The 22,369-nt window shown below is 38.8% G+C and overlaps 1 protein-coding gene and 1 pseudogene across 5 annotated transcripts in view; both read left to right on the top strand.

Moving 5' to 3' along the window:
• ZNF624 (zinc finger protein 624) overlaps window positions 1–12,401 on the top strand; it is a 39,604-nt gene extending 27,203 nt beyond the window's left edge. For 4 of the 5 annotated variants that reach the window (XM_011523970.3, NM_020787.4, XM_047436460.1 and 1 more), the window contains exon 6: window positions 2,139–5,914. In XM_011523970.3, the coding sequence (XP_011522272.1) occupies window positions 2,139–4,360 (2,222 nt within the window). In that variant the 3' untranslated portion in view covers window positions 4,361–5,914. Of the gene's footprint in view, window positions 1–2,138; window positions 5,915–12,279 lie in introns of those variants that run through there. The other variant, XM_047436461.1, reaches the window with a different exon arrangement.
• SRSF6P2 (SRSF6 pseudogene 2) lies at window positions 8,629–10,097 on the top strand (annotated as a pseudogene).
• Window positions 12,402–22,369: the final 9,968 nt, after the last annotated feature.

Below are 22,369 nucleotides of genomic sequence, written 5' to 3'. Positions count from 1 at the left end.
TCCAAGTATTTAGTACTACAAGTGTGTGCCACTATGCCCAGCTCATTTTTAATTTTTTATAGAGATGGGGTCTCACTGTGTTGCCCAAGCTGGTCTTAAACTCCTGGGCTCAAGCAGTCTTCCTGTCTCATCCTCCCAAAGTGCTGGGATTATAGGCATGAGCCACCACACCCAGCCTTATAGCTTTTTTTCTGAGAGCAAACTTTTTTTTTTATCAGATACTGGCAATATAATATCCTATGACAGCAAAAAATATGCTCAAACTAATTAAAACTATTTAAAAGTAAAAGAATGATAAATAGCAACAGCATGACAAAATATTAATTTAAATTTTATAAAAGTAAAATAACATAGACAAATCATACTGCTTAAAAGTGGGTTTTAAAATCATAAAATTGGCTGGGCACAGTGGCTCACGCCTGAAACCCCAGCACTTTGGAAGGCCGAGGAGGGTGGATCACTTGAGGCCAGGAGATGGAGACCAGCCTGGCCAACATAGCAAAATGCTTTCTCTACTAAAAATAAGAAAAATTAGCTGGATGTGGTGGCGCATGCCTGTAATCCCAACTACTTCGGAAGCTGAAGCACAAGAATCACTTGAACCCAGGAGGTGGAGGTTGCAGTGAGCTGAGATTGTGCCACTGTACTCCAGCCTGAGCAACAGAGCGAGACACTGCCTCAAAAATTAAAAAAAAAAAAAAATCATAAAACCATTCTATCATGGACAAGAGTTTTTATTGAACTTATATTTAAATATTGAGGCATAATTACCTGAAAATGAATTACAAGTTTTAAAAGGCATTAAAGTGTCTTAAAAATAAAATATTAAATTGCATACACAAACACATTGTAAGACCAGTATCCCACAGTGTAATTTTTTTAATGAATTTTTGACAAACTGTCAGAAATGTTCTTAGGGCCATAAAAAAGTTGCAAAATCTACCCTTAATTAAACAATAATTACCACTATTTGAAATATCAGTAAGTATAAATATTAACTTTTGACTAGTTTGTTGTTCAGTTCTTTTTGAAAATCAAAGTTTTTTTTCCATAAAAGTTTTATTAAAAGGTATGTACAAAGACTTGAATAAACTACTCTGCCAGTGAATTTGAGAAAGCCCTCACAACAAAGCTAGTCAATCAAAAATGAGAACAAATAGAGGCCAGGCATGGCATGGTGGCTCAGGCCTGTAATCCCAGCACTTTGGGAGGCTGAGGTGGGTGGATCACCTGAGGTCAGAAGTTCAAGACCAGCCTGGCCAACATGGCGAAACCCCGTCTCTACTAAAAATACAAAAATGAGCCGGGCGTGGTGGCACATGACTGTAGTCCCGGCTACTCGGAAGGCTGAGACAAGAGAATTGCTTGAACCCAGGAGGTGGAGGTTGCAGTGAGCCGAGATCATGCCACTGCACTCTAGCCTGGGTGGCACAGCAAGTATCTGTCTCCAAAACAAAACAAAACAAATAGAAAGTGTGATTGGGGACTAAAGTCTGGTTTGTGGAGTAAATAGAAAGCAAGGAAGTATGACAGTTTTTGAGATTGTCAAAAGTTGAAGAATACCATCTAAAATAGTTGGCTCTAAACTATGAATGGGCTTTTTTTTTTTTTTTGAGACAGTCGTGCTCTGTCACCCAGGGTAGAATGCAGTGGCACAATCTTGGCTCACTGCAACCTCCACCTCCTAGAATCAAGCAGTCCTCCCACCTCAGCCTCACAAATAACTGGGACTACAGGTGCACACCACCATGCCTGGCTAATTTTTTTTTTTTTTTTTTTTTTTTTTTTTTTTTTGTAGAGACAGGGTTTTGCTATATTGCCCAGACTGGTCTCGAACTCCTAAGCTCAAGCAATTCTCTCACCTTGGCCTCCCAAAGTGCTGAGATTATAGGCATGAGCCACTGTGCCCAGCTGAATGGACTTTTTTAACGGGAAAGTTTCATTGAATTTGCTACTTTAGTTTTTGCTAAACCAGCCTCCCTTAACCCTACCTTCTTCTCACTAAAAAACAAGTCAGTGTGAAAGCAATTAAAACCATATATTCATTATCCATGTATTTATTGCTTTTATTATTCTGTTTAGTGAGATTGCCCCAGCTTAGGAAAGGAATTACTTGATTTTTCTCTTTTTTGCCCCAGACATGGAGCCCAAACCTGCAACCAAGAAGGCTACACGAACAAAGGCTATTTCTGAAGATTTATCACAGGAGGCCATACTAGAGAAACTTACAGAGAATGGTCTGTGGGATTCCAGAATGGAAGGGTTATGGAAATGGAATGATAGGATATTGAGATTACAAAATAATCAGGAGAATCATTTGAGTCAAAGAATAATTCCACTCAAGAAGACTCCCACTAGTCAAAGAGGCTTTAGATTTGAATCTATTCTTATTCCAGAACCAGGCATTGCCACAGAAGAGCTTCACAGCAGATGCCAAACACAAGAGGAAAATTTCACAGAGAATTTAAATTTGATTACAGATACCCATTTGGGGAAGATAATTTGCAAGGAGATGAAAGGCAGCAAAGCCATAAGGCAGACTTCAGAACTAACTTTGGGGAAAAAATCCAATAATAAGGAAAAACCCTACAAATGTAGTACATGCGAAAAGGCCTTTCATTATAGATCATTGCTCATTCAACATCAAAGAACTCATACTAAAGAAAAACCTTATGAATGTAATGAATGTGGGAAAACATTCAGCCAGCCTTCATATCTCAGTCAGCACAAAAAAATCCACACTGGAGAAAAACCCTATAAATGTAATGAATGTGGAAAGGCCTTCATTGCTTCTTCATCACTTATGGTACATCAGAGAATTCACACTAAAGAGAAACCTTATCAGTGTAATGTGTGTGGGAAATCTTTTAGCCAGTGTGCCCGTCTTAATCAGCACCAGAGAATTCAAACTGGAGAGAAACCCTATAAATGTAGTGAATGCGGGAAAGCTTTTAGTGATAAATCAAAACTTGCAAGACATCAGGAAACTCACAATGGTGAGAAACCCTACAAATGTGATGATTGTGGGAAAGCCTTTAGGAACAAGTCATATCTTAGTGTACATCAGAAGACCCACACTGAAGAGAAACCATATCAGTGCAACGAGTGTGGGAAGTCTTTTAAGAATACCACAATTTTTAATGTGCATCAGAGGATTCATACTGGAGAGAAACCTTTTAGATGTAACGAATGTGGAAAAGCCTATAGAAGTAATTCAAGCCTTATCGTACATATAAGAACTCACACTGGGGAAAAACCCTATGAATGTAATGAATGTGGGAAAGCATTCAACCGCATCGCAAATTTCACAGAACATCAGCGAATTCACACAGGAGAAAAACCCTATAAATGTAATGAATGTGGGAAAGCATTCATTAATTATTCATGCCTTACTGTACACCACAGAATGCATACAGGAGAGAAACCTTATAAATGTACTGAATGTGGAAAGGCCTTCATGCGTTCTTCTTCTCTAATTATACATCAGCGTATTCATACTGAAGAGAAACCTTATCTGTGCAATGAATGTGGGGAGTCTTTCAGAATAAAATCACACTTAACTGTACATCAGAGAATTCACACTGGAGAGAAACCATATAAATGTACTGACTGCGAGAGGGCATTCACCAAAATGGTAAATCTCAAGGAGCATCAGAAAATTCATACTGGAGTGAAACCCTATAAATGTTATGACTGTGGAAAGTCCTTTAGGACTAAATCATACCTTATTGTACATCAGAGGACCCATACTGGAGAAAAACCATATAAATGTAATGAATGTGAGAAAGCCTTCACTAATACATCACAGCTTACCGTGCACCAACGAAGGCATACTGGAGAGAAGCCCTATAAATGCAATGAATGTGGAAAGGTTTTCACAAGTAACTCAGGCTTTAATACACATCAAAGAACACATACTGGAGAGAAACCATTTAAATGTAATGACTGTGGGAAAGCATTTAGCCAGATGGTACATGTCACAGAACATCAGAAAATCCATAGTGGAGAGAAGCCCTATAAGTGTGATGTCTGTGGAAAAGCCTTCAGGAGGGGTTCTTACCTTACAGTGCATTGGAGAACACACACTGGAGAAAAACCCTACACCTGTAAGGAATGTGGAAAGGGTTGTATTACTCTATCACAGCTAACCCTACATCAGAGAATTCATACTGGGGAGAGGCCCTATAAATGTGAAGAATGTGGAAAAGCCTTCAGAACTAACTCAGACTTTACTGTACACTTGAGGATGCATACTGGAGAAAAACCCTATAAATGTAATGAATGTGGAAAAGCCTTCAGGAGTAGTTCGAGCCTTACTGTACATCAAAGAATACATCAAAGAGAAACTCAGTTAATATAAAGAACAATAAGTCATTCACCTAGATGTCAACTCCACAAGATGAATCTTATAAACTATATTTTATGAATATAGGAAAATCTTCATTAGGAATTTATCAGAAAGTATACAGAGAAACTATAAGCAATTATGTGGGAAATCATTTAATAATATTAAATCTTAGAAGTTATAAGGAAACTCTCACTAGAGGAAAATAATGAACAAATGAAAGTGTTCATCCAGATTTCATACTTTACTCATTTAACAAATTATCTTTAGTTAATTGCCTATATATGTATTTGCCTATTTTTCTATTCATTTATCTGTCTTTTCTTATAAACCTGGAGGTGCTTTTTATATATTTTTGATATTAATCCTTTGTCATTATGTAGCAGATGTTTTTCTTAATCTAGCATTTGTCTTTATACTTTATAGTAATGCACAACATTTTTATAGGAAAATATTTGTATCATTTCCTTTTTAGATTTTTTATTTTACTCATTTTACTTAAAAGAGATCTCCTTAATCCCTAGGTTATACGTAGTATCCTAAATGTGTTTTTAAGATTTTTATGATTTTATTTTTTACACTTAAGTCTTTAATCCCTCTGGACTGGATGGTTCTTCATAGGAGAGCAACTGTAGGTGATCATTATCCTGTGAAAATATTTTGAACCTAAAAAGCACTCAGGGAAATGCAAATTGAAATGCTCAGTGAGATGAAACTTCCCCTTCATGGATCTGGCAAAAATTAAGAGATCTTTTGCTAGCTATTGGGGTTTGGGAAACCATGTACTATTACTTAAAGGTTGTGTAACATACTTCCACCAGCAGTCCAACAATATATGTTTAAAAATTTAAAACATATATACTCTTAGACCCAGCAGTCTCACTTTTGGAATCTGTCCGTTAGAAATAAAAGCAGCATCAATGCATAAGAATGTAAATAAACATGTTTGTTGAAGTACTGTTTGTAGAGGGGGGCAAAGCCCCAACTGCAAACAAAGTGAATGCCCATTAATAGGGAACTGGTTAGATAAATTGTGACATACCCATATTATGGAACAGTGTGAGAGTAATTTTAAAAACGACTTATATCTATGCTAGCTGATTTCAATGTATTTCCACAATGTATTGATAAATAATTGCTTTATAACAAATGTATATATACAATATATCATTTTTGTTAAAATAATCACACCCATTTATTTTGTGTTTATGTGTGTGTGTGTGGTTAGATGCACATGGAGACAGGTATGGAAGAATATACACCAGGCTGTTAATATTGATTACCTTGAGGGGAGTGAGAAAAGGAGAAGTAGAGATAAGGGAAGGGGAGACTGTAAAAACAGAAAAATGTAAATGCTGCCTTTATGGTATAAAACTGTAAATGTAATATTATGTAATTATGTGAACTTTTGAGAGAGATGAAAGGATGGTCTCCAAAAAATTAATGATGGTTATTTCTGTTTTAGTGGTTCATCAATTTTTTGTTTTTTACTTTCTTTTCTGTGTTTTTAAGTTAATTTTTTCCTTGCAATGAACCTGTAATATTTACATTAAAAGGAAAAATATTTTCGTTGTGCGTTTTATTTATTGGACACCTTCAATGTGCCAGGACCTACCCTCAGTGCTGGATATACAATGAGGGGGAGAGGTGCTCATGCATCTTAGAGCATGGAAATTGGTTCTGATGTTACCTAAATTCCAAAAAAAGTTACTTAGCATCTTATTCCTACCACCCACTGAGTTTCATTTGTAGGAGGTGATAGAAATTCCAGATAGATGAAAAATGTGCCCAAGAATATCTGGAACTTGTGCCCAGGCTGTAGACCAGAAGACCTCAAGCCTCAGAAAGAAGTTCCACTTTCAACATGCCACCAAAGAAAAGGTCACAGTGGCAACAACAGGTGTCTTTATGGAAGAGGCCGTGTAAAGCTTCTGAACTTTGCATGATGAAGTGTAGAGAGAGAAAATAGCCAATAACTCCCAAGTCTATAAATGAGGGCTTGGAAGTTCTGGGAACACTATGAAATACTTCTGCTAGGAGGGGCCTAGAGTAACAATGGGAACCCAGAAGCTGTGTCCCTGATACCAGAAGGCCCTAACAGACCAAAGACCTGACATCCAAAAAGAACAAGGCATGATGAGTTACACTTCAGGGAGGATAAGAGGATCAAATACCCTTTCACGATGCCAGGGTAAATATGTATTTAACATTGGGAAAGACACTGATGTGAATTATCTTCCATCATAAATGAACAATTTGACATTCTGGTTAAAATGGCCATTTTTGATTGAAGTTTAATAGTGAAACATTAACTATTACTAAGAGACCAATCCTCATTGAGGATAGTTAATGTGCCACTTTCTGACTGAAAGGTTTGAGAGTCAGACCTTTAAGAAGCCCTGCTGTCACAGAGTTGACATCGCATGGTGCCAACTTTGTTGGTCCCTCCATTCTGCCTCCGAATCCTCACTACATCTAAACCCTCCCTCCCATTCCTGCCTTAGAGGCAAACGCCTCAAGAAGAGGAATGTGGTCAGCAGGTTCAAATGACAAAAGAACTGAAAAGTATCCATTGGGGAAGGGGTTGGGGATGACCCACACCAACCTGACTAGAGCAGTTTCAGTGGCACGGTGAGCTCCCAGGGCCTGGTTCTTGTGCATGCCGCTATTCCATTATGGGTTTAATTTGCACTTCCTCAGTGGATAATGCTGTTGAGCCCCTCCTTTCGATATGTGTTGGCTTTTTAAATATCTTCTTTGGGAAGTACCTGTTCAAGACTTTTGCCATTTTTTAGCTGGGAACTGATTTTTGCTCATTTGTAGGATTCTTTATATATTCTGGAGACGGGGTTTTTTTAGATGTTTGTATTACACATATCTCATCTGCAGCTTACCTTTTCACTCTCTAAATGATGTCCTTTGATGAACAGAAGTTCTTAATTTTGATAATAACTTTTCTTTATGATTAGTGCTTTTTTGCCCAGTTTAAGAAATATTTTCCTAACTCAAGGTCATAAAGATATTTTTCTACATTCTCTTCCACATATCTACTATTTTATGTGTATGATCCATCTGAAATTAATATTTATGGTATGGAGTAGAGGTCAAAATATTTTTCATACAAATAAGCAATTTGTTCAACATCATTTATTGAAAAGGCCATCTTCCTCTCTCTCCCTTGTTTTGCAGTTGAACATTTATGATAAATCCGATGATCATGCATGTTAGTGTCTTTTGGACTATGTCTCGTTGTATGCTTTTATTATTGTAACAATACCAAATATTTTAAATGAAAACTGATAGTACAGTTGACCTTTGAACAATTCGGGGGTTAGGAGAACTGACCCCTTACACAATAAAGAATCATTGTATAACTTTTGACCTCAAAAACTTAACTACTAATAACCTACGTTTGACTAGGAGCCTTACCAATAATATAGTCAATTAACACATATTTTGTGTATGTATTAGATACTGTACTCTTACGTAAGCTAGAGAAAAAATATGATTAAGAAAATAAGGGAGAGAAAATATATTTACTATTCATTAGGTAGAAGTGGATCATCATCAAGATCTTTATCCTCATCGTCTTCACGTTGAGCAGGCTAAGGTGGAAGACGACGAGGGGTTGGTCTTGCTGTCTCAAGTGGCAGAGGTAGAAGTAAATCCATGTATAAGTGGTCCCACACAGTTAAAACTTGTGCTCAAGGGTAAACTGTATGTTTTCTAATTTTGTTCTTGTTCAAAATTGTCACTATTTTAGGTCCTTAGCATTTTCATATACATTGTTGAATGATTTTTTTTTTCAATTACCCCATACCAAAAAGCTAGGATTTTGTTGGCATTACATCAGATACATAGATTAATTCTGGAAAAGTGAAGTTATAAACATGAATATTGAGACATTTAATCTATGAGTATTCCAAAACATTTCATTTATATAGATACTTTAAACATTTTGGGATTTGGTTTTGTTGTTGTTTGTTTTTGAGTTGGATCCTTGCTTTGTCACCCAGGTTGGAGTGCAGTGGCACAATCTCGGCTCACTGCAACCTCAGCCTCCCGAGTAGTTGGGATTTACAGGTGCCTGCCACCACACCCGGCTAATTTTTTGTATTTTTTTTTTAGTAGAGATGGGATTTCCCCATGTTGGCTAGGCTGGTCTTGAACTCCTGACTTCAAGTGATCCACCTGAGGCAGGTGGATCCTGAGGAACTAACCTCAAAATTTCAGCAATTCTTATATTTTTGCAACAATTTTTTCAATTATAGAAGTTGCTAACCATTGTGTGGCTGGACTCGGCCGCCACTATGGTGTGAGGCGCGTGTTCGGGCTCTTGCCGTCCCCGCACCCGCACCGCGGCTACTGGCTTGCGGTCCGCCGTTCCACAACCAGCCCTTGGGCCCCCGCCCGCCACGGACATGCCGCGCGTCTACATAGGACGCCTAAGCTACAACGTCCAGGAGAAGGCCATCCAGCGCTTTTTCAGTGGCTATGGCCGCCTCCTCGAAGTAGACCTCAAAAATGGCTACGGCTTCGTGGAGTTCGAGGACTCCCGCGACACCGACGACGCCCTTTACGAGCTGAACAGCGAGGAGCTCTGCGGCGAGCGCGTGATCGTAGAGCACGCCCGGGGCCCGCGTCGCAATCGCGACAGCTACAGCTACGGAAGCCGCCGTGGTGGAGGTGGATACAGCAGTCGGAGACATCTGGCAGAGACAAATACGGACCACCTGTTCGTACAGAATACAGGCTTATTGTAGAAAATCTTTCTAGTCTGTGCAGTTGGAGAGATTTAAAGGATTTTATGCGACAAGCAGGTTAAGTAACCTGTGCGGATGCCCACAAGGAAGGAACAAATGAGGGTGTAATTGAGTTTCGCTCCTACTCTGACATGAAGCGTGCTTTGGACAAACTGGATGGCACAGAAATAAATGGCAGAAATATTAGGCTTATTGAAGATAAGCCACGCACAAGCCATAGGCGATCTTACTCTGGAAGCAGATCCAGGTCTCGATCTAGAAGATGGTCACGAAGTAGGAGTCGCAGGAGCAGCCGCAGTAGATCTGGAAGTGTCTCAAAAAGTCGCTCCCGTTCCAGGTCGCGGAGCAAAGGTCGATCACGTTCTCGATCAAAAGGCAGGAAATCTAGATCAAAGAGCAAATCTAAGCCCAAGTCTGATCGGGGCTCCCATTCACATTCTCGAAGCAGATCTAAGGATGAGTATGAGAAATATCGAAGCAGGTCTCGGTCCGGATCCCCCAAAGAAAATGGAAAGGGTCATACAAAGTCAAAATCCAGATCAAGGAGCCAGTCCCGTTCCAATTCGCCGCTACCTGGTCCACCCTGAAAGGCCCGCTCTGTGTCCCCTCCACCAAAAAGAGCTACTTCAAGATCCTGTTCTAGATCTCGCTCAAAGTCAAGATCAAGGTCCAGGTCGAGTTCCAGGGATTAACTCAGAACTCTCTTGTTGTCTGCACACTATTATGGAACACTTTCCTGCTTAGGCAGTTACTCTTCCATGTTTATACTTGGTCTCTTCTGCAAGAGGAATCTCTTGAAAACAGGGGCACACAGAAATTTGATATGTGGCCAAATTGGATGAAAAAGATGAGGTTTAAGGAAATGGTGGCATGAAGACCCTCTCCCTTCTTTGTAGAATTAAGATAACTATGATTTTATAGCTTTTGAGCTAACATAACTTTTGTAAAGATTAAGCTCATTTAGTTTTTGTTTGTTTGTTTGTTTGTTTTAAGTATTTCAGCCAGATCTGCTGGCAGGGTTTTTTTGTTGTTTTATTTGTTTGCTTATTTTTAAATTAACTGTTTTGAGCTTTGAATGCTTAAGGCTTTAGAGGGAGAACCCAATTTTCAATTATGTTGGCTTTTTATAAAGCTTGAGTTATGTAAGATTTAAATAGAAGTTTGCTACCAAGATGATTGCCTTATTGAATAGGTCACTATTAAATTCCTTTAAATGTTGATATCTGCCATTTGTGGAAACAACGTAAATTCTACTTTAGTGTAAACAAGGCAAGCCTCAGACCAGCAATAAATTATTCAGTTTGGATAACATTATTTTGTGCTGTTAATCAAATTTGCCAAAGTCTTTATCTGCCCCTTTAACAAGTTGAGTAAAAATAAAAGGTATTTAAAAAAAAAAAAGGAAGTTACTATATTTTTTCAATTGTAGAAGTTTTGTTAGATTAGTACTATGCATTTGATGTTTTTGATGTATAAATGCTATTATTTTAATTTCATTTTCTGATTGTTGCCACAATATAGGTATATGGTATATCTCATTCATATATATATATATATATATATATATATATATATATATATATGTATATGGAATAGATTTTTTAAAGTTGATCTTATATCCAGTGACCTTGCTAAATTCACTTATTTATAATTGTTCATTCTTTTTGACTTTCTGTGTACACAGTATGTCATCTGTGGTAAAGTCAGTTTTACATCATTCTTTATAATCCTCATACCACTTTTTTCTTGCTTTATTGCACTGGCTAGGACCTCCAGAAATAGGATTTGTAGACATCCTTGCCTTTTTCCCAGAATCTAAAGGAAAACAAAACATTTTACCATTTGGTATGACTTGAGGTGTAAATTTTAGATAGTCTCTATCACTCAAATTACTTTTCTGAGGTTTGTTATCAGGATGGGTGTTGAATTTCATCAGACATTTTTTGCCACTATTGAGATGATTATAGTTTTTCATTCTGTTACTCTAAATTATGTGGTTTGATTTTAAACATTTAAAAAATTGTCATAAAATACACGTAGAATTTATAATCCTAGCCATTATGTGTACAGTTCAGTGCCATTAAGTCATATTGTGCAACTATCCATCTCCAGAATGTGTTTCATCTTAGAAAGCTGAAACTGAGGCTGGGCACGGTGGCTCATGCCTGTAATCCTAGCCCTTTGGGAGGCCGAGGCGGGCAGACCACGAGGTCAGGAGATGGAGACCATCCTGGCTAACACGGTGAAACCCCATCTCTGCTAAAAATACAAAAAATTAGCCGGGCGTGGTGGTGGGCGCCTGTATTCCCAGCTACTCAGGAGGCTGAGGCAGGAGAATGGCCTGAACCCGGGAGGCGGAGCTTGCAGTGAGCCCAGATCGCACCACTGCACTCCAGCCTGGGCGACAGAGCGAAACTCCATCTCCAAAATAAAAAAGAAAGCTGAAACTGAATACCCATTAAACAATGACTCTCCATTCCCCACTTCACCCCCTAAACCCTGGAAACCACCATCCTATTTTCTGTCTCTATGAATTTGACTGATCTAGATAACCTCATATAAGTAGAATCATACAGTATTTGTCCTTTGGTAACTGGCTTATTTCCCTTAGCATAATGTCCTCAAGATTCATCTATACAAATTGATTTTTAGATATTAAAGCAATTTGCATTCCTGGAATAGATTTCATTTGGTCATTGTGGGTAATATTTTTAATATATTATTGAATTAAATTTGTCAAAATTTTGTATAGGATTTTATGTCTATGTCCATATTGTCTTCTGTGTTTTCTTTCTTGTAATAGCCTTGTTTGACTTTGTATCAGAATTATGGACTCATAACATGAGTTGAGGATTCCCTTTATTTTGTTTTTGGTTTTTTGTTTGTTTTTGGTCCTCTGGAAGAGTGTGGGTAAGATGTGTAAGATTGGTATTATTGGTTTTGGTATTATTTTGCCATAATTTTGTGTGTAAAAATTACCAGAGTAGCACCTGGGAAAATTTTTAGCTATGTAGTCAATGATTTGATAGACATAGGATTAATCAAATTTTATATCTCTTGTGTACATTTTGGTAAATTCTTTTAAAAATTATGTCCATATAATTTCACCAAAATATCTAATTACTGGTTTTAAATAGTTTATAATATCTGTTCTATTTTTAATATCTTTAGGATCTAAAGTGATGTTCCCTTCTTCAGTCCTGGTGTTGGTAATGTATGTACTCTGTTTTCTTGATTAGGTTTTCTAGGACTTAACATTTAATTTTTTTTAAAAACCCACCTACTTTTATAGAGCTAATTTCTTTTTCACTAATTTATGCTCCTTTATTTTCTTCTAAATATTTTATTTGGATATGATTTTCTGGGGTTTTTTTTCTAGCTTCTTGGAATGAAATCTTAGATAAGCAATGTTCAACAATTCTTTTTTGCTAATAATTGTATTTAACGCTATACGTTTCTTTAAAGTACCTATTTAGCTGTATCAAATAGATTTTTATCACCTTTATTGAGACATAAATGATATATAACAATTTGTACCCAGTTTAACTTTACATTTTGATAAGTTTTGGCAAACTTATACACCTGTGTAGCCACCACCACAATCAAACAACATTTTCCTCACCCCCAAAATTTCCTGCATTCTTTCCCAGACAATGCTTCCCACCTCTGTCTCCAAGAAATCATAAATCTAGTTTTTGTCAGTATAGATTAGAATTATCTTTTCTAGACTTTCATATAAATGGAATGATACAGCATACTCTTCTGTGTCTGCCTTCTTTCTCTTAACATAAAGTTTTGAGATCCGTTAATATGGTGTGTATCAGTGTTTCATTCTCTTATTGCTGAGTAGCATACTGTTATGTTAATATATGACCACAACTGATTAACTCACTCGATGATGGACAGTTGTTTCCAGTTTGGGGTTATGATGAATAAATCTGCTATGAACAGTCATATACAACTTTTTGTGTAGACATATATTTTTTTCATTTATATTGCATCAATTTCTGGGTTTGGAGTTGCTAGTTCATATGATAAATATATGTAAAACTTTATAAGAAACTGCCAATTGTTTTCCAAAGTATTTGTACCATTTTACAACCCCCCAACAATGTATGATTGTTTGAGGTACTTTCAGCCTTGCCAACTGAATTGTCAGGTTTTTGTTTGTTTGTTTGTTTTGAGAGACAGAGTCTTGCTCTGTTGCCCAGGCTGGAGTGGAGCACAGTGGCGAGATCTTGGCTCACTGCAACTTCCCCCTCCCAGGTTCAAGCGATTCTCCTGCCTCAGCCTCCCAAGTAGCTGGGACTATAGGTGCGTGCCACCACACCCTGCTAATTTTTTGTATTTTTAGTACAGATGGGGTTTCACCGTGTTGGCGAGGATGATCTTGATCTCCTGACCTCGTGATCCGCCCGCCTTGACTTCCCAAAGTGCTGAGATTACAGGCGTGAGCCACCAAGCCCGGCCAGGTTTTTTTTTAATTATTTTGTAACTTTTCTAATATATGCAGCAGTGCTTCAAGGTGATTTTGCTTTGCGTTTCCCTGACGATTATTTTGAACATTTTTCATGTGCTTAATGGCCTTTATATCTCTCCATTGTGAAGCATCTGTTTATTTTGCTCATTTTAAGAATTAGGTTATTGGTCTTGTTATTAAGTTGTAATGCTCTTTATTTAGATACAAGTCCTTTATCATATATACATGTTGGGAATATCTTCTGTCAGTCTTTAACTTCCTTTTAAATTTTCCTAGTGGTGTCTTTTGAAGAGCAGATGCTTTGGATTTGGATGGATATCAATTTGTCATTTCTTTTTTTTGTCATACCTTTTTGGTTCTATTGAAGAAATTTTTACCTACCCTAGGATCCTGAAGTTTTTTTCTCCTGTTTTCTTTGGAAATTTTATGGATTTATATTTTATGTTTAGTCCTACATGCAATTTTGTGTTAATTTTTCTGTCCATGGATTATGTTGTATTTTATCATTCAGTTAAAAGCATTTTCTAATCTTTATTATAATTTCTACCTTGACCCTTGACTATTTAGAAGTATGTTAATTGGTTGTAAAGCATTTGTGGATTTTCTATTTATCTATTATAGATACCTAGTTTAATTCCAATGTGATCAAAGAACACACTATATTATTATTATTATTATTATTATTATTATTATTATTATTATTTTATTATTATTTTGAGACAGAGCCTCACTCTGTTGCCAAGGTTGGAGTGCAGTGGCACAATCTTGGCTCACTGCAACCTCTGCTTCCTGGGTTCAAGTGATTCTTGTGTCTCAGCCTCCTGGATAGCTGGGATTATGGGTGTGTGCCACCACAACCAGCTAATTTTTTTGTATTTTTAGTAGAGATGGGGTTTCACCATGTTGGTCAGGCTGGTCTTGAACTCCTGACCTCAAGTGATCCACCTGCCTCGGCCTCCCAATGTGCTGGGATTACAGGTGATGAGCTGCCGTGCTCGGCCTCATACTATATTATTTTAATCCTTAAGTTTGTTGAGACTTACTTTATGGCCCAGCCTCTATTTTTTGGTTAATGCTCCATATTCACTTGAAAATAACACGAAAGTAAGAATTTTCACTTGAAAATTCTGCAATTAGATGTTAATGTTCTATAAATATTAATTAGATCTAGTTGGTTAATAGTTTTCTTCAAATCTTCCACATTCCTAGTGATTTTTTTTTCTTTGAGATGAAGTTTCGCTCTTGTCATCCAGGCTGGAGTGCGATGGTGCGATCTCGGCTCACTGCAACCTCTGCCTCCCAGGTTCAAGGAATTCTCCTGCCTTGGCCTCCTGAGTAGCTGGGAGGTGCATCCCACCACATCTGGCTAACTTTTTGTATTTTTATAGAGACGGGGTTTCACTGTGTTAGCCAGGATGGTCTCGATCTGCTGACCTCGTGATCCACCTGCCTCGGCCTCCCAAAGTGCTGGGATTACAGGCATGAGCCACTGCACCTGCCCAGTTTTTAAAATAAATATTTTTAATTTTTCCCATTTTAATTTCAAGTACAGTAAATATCAATAGATATAACCTATATAAAAAAACTCTTTGGGTTCCTCAATAATTTTTAAAAGTGTAAAGCAGGCCGAGTGTGGTGGCTCACGCCTGTAATCTTGGCACTTTGGGAGGCTGAGGTGGGCGGATCACCTGAGGTCAGGGGTTCGAGACCAGCCTGACCAACATGGAGAAACCCCATCTCTACTAAAAATACAAAATTAGCCGGGCGTGGTGGCACATGCCTGTAATCCCAGCTACTCAGGAGGCTGAGGCAGGAGAATCGCTTGAACCCAGGGGCAGGGAGGTTGCAGTAAGCTGAGATCATGCCATTGCACTTCAGCCTGGGCAACAAGAGCAAAACTCCGCCTCAAAAAAAAAAAAAAAAAAAAAGTGTAAAGCAGTCCTGAGACTGAAATGTTTGAAAATAATAGCCCTTTAAATTCCCTATGAATCTTTGACTCATTGGAACACTCTTGAAATTAATATTTTGCCATTTCAAAGCAATGAAAAAAACTGACAATTTAATTTCATTTACTCCTTGCCTTTTGTTCCATTGTTGTCATAGATCTTTATTTCTATATTTATTTTAAACTCCCGAAGATATTACTATTATTGTTTTTAAGCAATGTCTGCTTATATTTACTCACATATTTAGCTATTCTCGTGCTCTTAATTCTCTCCTGAAGCTCCTTGTTCCAGTTGCTGTCATTTTCCTTCTGCCTGATTAACTCTTCTGGCATTTTATTATAGTCTTCCAGTGGATTCTCTCAGCTTTTCAGATATATATTACATTCATTTAGGAGGATAATTTCTCTTGAAATAGAGTTCTAGGCTGTCATTTGGGGTTTTGTTTGTTTGTTTTTGTTTGTTGGTTTTTGTGGGTTTTTTTGAGACGGAGTCTTGCTCTGTCGCCCAAGCTGGAGTGCAGTGGCGCGATCTCGGCTCACTGCAAGCTCCGCCTCCCGGGTTCACGCCATTCTCCTGCCTCAGTCTCCCAAGTAGCTGGGATTACAGGCGCCCGCCACCACTCTCGGCTAATTTTTTGTATTTTTAGTAGAGACGGGGTTTCCCCGTGTCAGCCAGGATGGTCTCGATCTCCTGACCTCGTGATCCGCCCCCCTCGGCCTCCCAAAGTGCTGGGATTACAGGTGTGAGCCACCGCGCCTGGCCGGGCTTTTTTTTTTTAAGCATCTAGAATAAAATGACATCCCATTGTCTTCAGCTTCCAGAGTTTCTACTAAAAGGTCCATTGTGAATTGTGAGTCCCATTGTTTTCTCTCTAGCTGCTTGTCAGATTTTCTCTTTGCTGTTAGCTGTCATAGGTTTTACTGCAATGTGCCTGGGTGTGCAGGGGTTTTCTTTGCTTTTGAATCATACTTGGGGTTTGTAGAGCTTTTTGAGACTGTGTTATGATGTCTTTCATCAGTGTGGGGAAATTCTCACCCAGGTTTCTTCAAATATTGCTTTACCTCGTTTTCTCTCTCTCTAATTCTAGGTTTCCAGTTACAGATAGCTTAGGACTTTTCACCATGTTCCAGATGGCTCTTACGGTTTTCTGTATCTCCCATTCTTCTCTATCTATCTGCATCAACCTGGATACTTTCCACTTACCTGTATTTCTGTTATTATCCTGTTTTTAATCTATTAAAACCATATTTTGAATTATTCATTTTACTCAGATGTTTTATTTCTGGAATCTTAGTCTTCTTTTTATATGGATTCTATTTATTTGCTAAAATTCTTCATTCTTTTTTCTCTTTTGAATATATTATTTATTTTAAATAATATTTATTTAAAAATCCTTGAGTGTTAACTGCAATAGATGAATTGCTTCTGGGTCTGTTGCTATCTGGCCAATTGATGCTTTCTTTTCCCCTGCATGACTTCTAATATTTCATTTGATGGCAAACATTATACTTGAAAAAATTATAGATGTTCCTGACTTATGTTCCTCTAAATAGAGCTAAGTCTTATTTTAGCAGATGGTTAGAATACCAGTAGATCACGCTGATCGACTACAGATGGTCCCCAACTAATGATGGTTTGACTCACAATTTTTTGACTTTATGATGGTTTATTGGGGTACTAAATGTATTTTTGACTTATTTTCTACTTAAGGCAGGTTTATTGGAATGTAACTGCATCGTAAGTCAAGGGACACCTGTGCCTTTATATGGTTGTGTTCCTATAAGCAGCATCTACAGCCTGGGAACCAAGGAGTGGGAACAGGAGAGTCCTTGCTCACCATCACTTCCAGCCACCCAGCTGACGGTTATGTGCTTCCCTATCCCACGAACCTCCGTTCTGTAGCTTTAGAGGTCGAAACAATTCCCTTGGGAAACACATCAAGCGTTCTTTTGAGCTGTAAACTACAGCTGCTGCCAAGGAGCCAGCCAGCAAGCAGAGGAGTCACCATCCCGACAGGGGTATTTGATCCTGATGATTAGAAGGAAGTAGGGCGATTAACACACAGTGTTAATCACAGTGGGGGAAGGGAGAAATATGTTTGGCACCCAGGTAATGCACTTTAATACTGGAAAGCTCCCTGTACTACCTTGCCCCATTTTCATAGTAAATAGATAAGTGCAGTAGCCATAGCCTGAGAGGCACATGGTGACCAGGGGCTCAGGGATGAATGTCTGGATCATGCCACTGGGAAGCCACCAAGACCAGCAGAGGTGCCAGTGGAGGTTGAGGGGCACCTGGAATGGACAGCAGAGGACAGCAGCAATCACTGTCAACTGCAGGGTTAAGACCAACTGCAGTGGGGACGGTGGCTGCAGTCCATCCCTTGGCCTCTTACAAGTTTCTTCCTGGAAAAAGAGACCCACCAGGATCCTAGAGTTGTTTCTCCTAAAACTTATATGAAGAAGTGAATCCAAGTGGTGGAAGGTGTGGCCTGCAGTGGCTGTCAGGTGGTGCCACCCACGACCCCCTTTCAGAACTGAGGAATTTGTTCTCCAGCTGCTGGGAGTATGGCTTGCAGACAGCCCTCAGCTGAAGGGCATCCCGTCGCCCTGGAACACACGTCGTTCCTGGGACAGCCACAGCCAATGACTAGTTGACATAGGGGCAAAGTTCTGGCCCTTCCACTCAAAGTTGGGGTAATTTTGAAGGGCTGTCTCAGTTCTGCAGCTCTTCCTGGGGTCAACTGGCACCCTTACTGAGACTGCATAGCAGCCTAACTTCTCCCTCTACCCAATCCCACTTTCTTCTCTTCTATTCTGCAGGTTGTGATATGAAAGCCTCCATACAAATCTCCATCTCACAACTTTCTGGGGAACCCAACCTGAGTGTCCTTCCCCACCTGTCATACCTCGAAAATATAGACTTTATTTATGGAACCAAGAGCTAAAATTGCTTCTAATTTTTCACTATTATAAATACAATTTCGATAACCCTGCAGGAAAGTCTTTGCAAACAACCTTAATTGTTTCCATGGGATCATAAAAAAATGGAATTTCTTAGGCAAAGTAACACATATTGATAAGGCTTTTTAATTCACATGCCCAAAGCCTTCTGAAAAGCTTTGCACACTCAGCAGCTGCATGTGGGAGTGCGTCCTGCTCCTGCATCTGTTGCCTGCCTTGGGCAATCACATCCTTACAATTTTGACATTGCCTTCTCTGTATTTGAGAATTTTTGCATCCCATAGAAATCAGAGAAGGAGGCCTATTCTTTCCATATAAAATCCCTAGAAGAAAATGAGCTTTTACCTCATAATAACTGAGGTAAGCAGGATTCAAAACTTTCAAACTCTGTCATCCCATCTGCACCAGGAGTTTCTCCTAATCTTTTCACAGGAGCAGTGAACTACTCTGTCCCTTATGGCCATATTATCGCCAGGAAAATCCTGATGCTCCAATTCCCCAGGCTGTGGGAGTCCCAGGACAATCCAGGTCTATCTGGAAATGTGAGCGGAGGATCAGCGTAGCAGGATCACTATTCTTTTCCTATGGTGAGAAACACCTTCTGGGCAGATTCTGGACTCATGTTTTCTGAGGGAAAAGCTGCTATCTCCCTCCTGGTAGCTTTTCTGTGTGGCCAGTGCTCGGAGCGTTACAAGTCAGAGGGAAAGAAGTTAGAGTATAAATCAGGCTGAAGCTGGATCCAGCCCACAGACTTGTGGTCCTTGATGCCTTCCACACTCTCTGGGAACTCTGTGTCCACTGCAGATATGTGACCAGTAAAACCGGAGTAGCACAGAGAAAAGTGGTGAGAAAATGCCCTGCCTGGGGCTAGCTCTGTCCAATTTCCCAAGAGCTTGCTCCTGGAAATTCTGCAGGATATCTTGGAATTCTCATGGTTCTTAAACTCCTCTACGATGAATGGTGACAGTGAGATCACCACTTTCACATCCATAGGAGCCTTGCAGAGAAGAAAAACTCCTTCATGGGCCAAAGGAATCTAATCCTAGCAGGATTTCAGACACGGGGATTTGGGGTGTGAGAAAGTCTTGGAGAACTGGAGAGATACTCTCGAAACCTCTCAGATTTCCTTCCTGGGCCACCACCTACTACACCTCTGGATGAGATTGACTTGTTCAATAAGGTCAGCATGGATGGCATGTTCTGTTGAAGCTACAAGACTGGAAACAGCAAAGAGGCTCAGTCATTCCCAAGACAGCCTCAGTAGCCTCTCCCTGCTAATATAGCATAACAAGATGACAAGGACATTTAATATTGGGAGGCAGAGACCACTTGACTGGCAGAATCTCAGCAGATGTAACTGGTGACATGATTTTCCCTACATCACAGGAATTCGGTAATGACCCAGATCCAACCTGACTCAGAGTTATAAAGATTTTATAAGACTCCAAATACATTTCCCATGCCTTCTCACAATTTCACTCCACCAATACCATAACAAACTACAGTCACATAATGCTGCACATTCTTTCCCTTCCCATCTCGATTAACCCTTGTTGGCAGGAGTGCTGATTCCAAGGCGATAAATAGGCTTTTTCAGCTCACAGAGGCTACTAGGACTCTATGAGCTGGTACAAAAGCAACAGAGGATCCCCAGGGTGCATGTGTCTGATCCCTTAAGACTCTCCATTAACACCCTTGGAATGCACTCAGTGGAAGAGACTGGCTCAGTACCTTCCCTGCTCCCTGGAACTGGATTCGAACCAGGCCCTGGACTCAGCCAGGTGTTCTCTTTAGGGACAAAGGTCAATCTTCTGGCACTCCCTTCTTGACCAGCACCACAATGGCCACTCTGCAGCTTCCACACAGCATATGGCAAAGCGCAAAATGACCTGGGCACAAACTGGGCCTCATTCATGTCTTGACAAGGCAGAGGCGTGAGAATATCAGGTGGGTGGGAGGGTGGGGAGTGTTACCAAGCACAGCTTCAGACAAAACTTCTCCTTTCTTCTGGCATGGCCTGAGTCTGGGCCTGGGGACTTCCTCCACTGGAGCTTTTCAAACCCAAGCTTTGCTCCACCAGTCTATCCCTTCCTGGGGTGTATATAAAACCCATGGGATTTCAGTGCCGCTTCTAAATATTTTATTTATTGACTAAAAACAGGAGATTCCTGTTTGTAAACAGCCAGATGAGACATAATTATTTTAATAGTCAAAATGAGAGGAAAAAAACTTTAATGATTAAAACCAAGGCCTTGATTGAATAAACTATTAGAATCCATAGAATGGCCATCAAGCCATTATCAATTATGCTATGGAAGAATATTTAATTATCCATGTATAATGGTAAGTGAAAAAACATTAACAAAAGTATGAAAAATGTTATTCTGTTAAAAGTGCATTTGGGAACCTACCTGTTTCCAGTTTGGGGGTCATTATTAATTAAGCTTCCATGAATATTTGTGTACAGGATGTCCTAGCCAGAGCAATTAAGCAAGAGAAAGAAATAAAAGACATCCAAAGAGGAAAAGAAAAAGTTATATTCTCTCTGTGAAGGACATGAAAACACTATAAACTCCACCAAAAAACTATTAGAACTCATAAACAAAATAAATTCAGTAAAGTTGCAAGATACAAAATCACCATTTGAAAATCAGTAGTGTTTTTATACACTAACAACTATCTGAAAAAGAAATCAAGAAAACAATCCTATTGACAATAGCTACAAAAAAGGAGTAAATTTAACCAAGGATCTGTACACTGAAAACTATCAAACATTGATGGAAGAAATTGAAGAAGACACAAATAAATGCAAAGATATACTGTGTTCATGGATTATAAGAATTAATATTGTTAAAATGTCCATACTACCAACACAATCTACAGATTCAGCGCAATTCCTATCAAAATTTCTATGTCATTTTTCACAGAAATGGAAAAAAAAACTCCTGAAATTCATATGGAACTACAAAACACCCTGAATAGCCAAAGCCATCTTGAGCAAAAAGAACAAATCTAGAGGCATCACATTGCCTGGTTTAAAAATCTACAGAGCTATAGTAATAAAAACAGCATGGTACTGGCATAAAAACATACAGACTCATGGAACAGAATAGACTGCCCAGAAATAAGTCCACATATTTACAGTGAAGTGATTTTCAACAAAGGTGCCAAGAACACACAATGAGGAAAAAGCAGTATCTTCTGTGAATTGTGCTGGAGAAACTGGATATCCACATGAAGAAGAATAAAATTGGACCTTTATCTTACAACATACACAAAAATCAACTCAAAATGGACTGAAGACTTAAACATAAGACCCAAAACCATAAAATTCCTAGAAAAAAACATTGGGGAAAAGCTTCATGACATTGTTCCAGACATTGATTTTTTGTGTATGACTCTGGAAGCACAAGCAAGAAGAACAAAAATAAACCAGTGAATTATATTATGCTAAAAAGTTTCTGCATAGCCAAGAAAATAATCAACAGAGTGAAGAGACAACCTATATATAAAGACCGTGAACAACTCAATAGTTAGAAAATAAACAACTTGATCAAAAAACGAGGAAAGGAATTGATTACACATTTCTCAAAAGTCTACAAATGACTAACATATGAAAAAATGTTCAACATCACTAATCATCAGAGAAATGTAAATTTAAATCACAATGAGATGTTATCTTACACCTGTTGGAATAGCTATTATCAAAAAGACAAAAGATAAGTGTTGGCTGGGATGTGGAGAAAGGGGAATCCTTGTACGCCATTGGTGGGAGTGTAAATTAGTACAACCATTATGGAAAACAGTATAGAGTTTCCTCAAAAAATTAAAAGTAGAACTACCATATGATCCAACAACCTCACTTCTGGGTA

Source organism: Homo sapiens, chromosome 17 (assembly GCF_000001405.40).
Source record: "Homo sapiens chromosome 17, GRCh38.p14 Primary Assembly".
In the NCBI taxonomy this organism is placed as follows: domain Eukaryota; kingdom Metazoa; phylum Chordata; class Mammalia; order Primates; family Hominidae; genus Homo; species Homo sapiens.
Note: the sequence above shows the minus strand (reverse complement) of the source record. Positions and strands in the feature narration are given on the sequence as shown.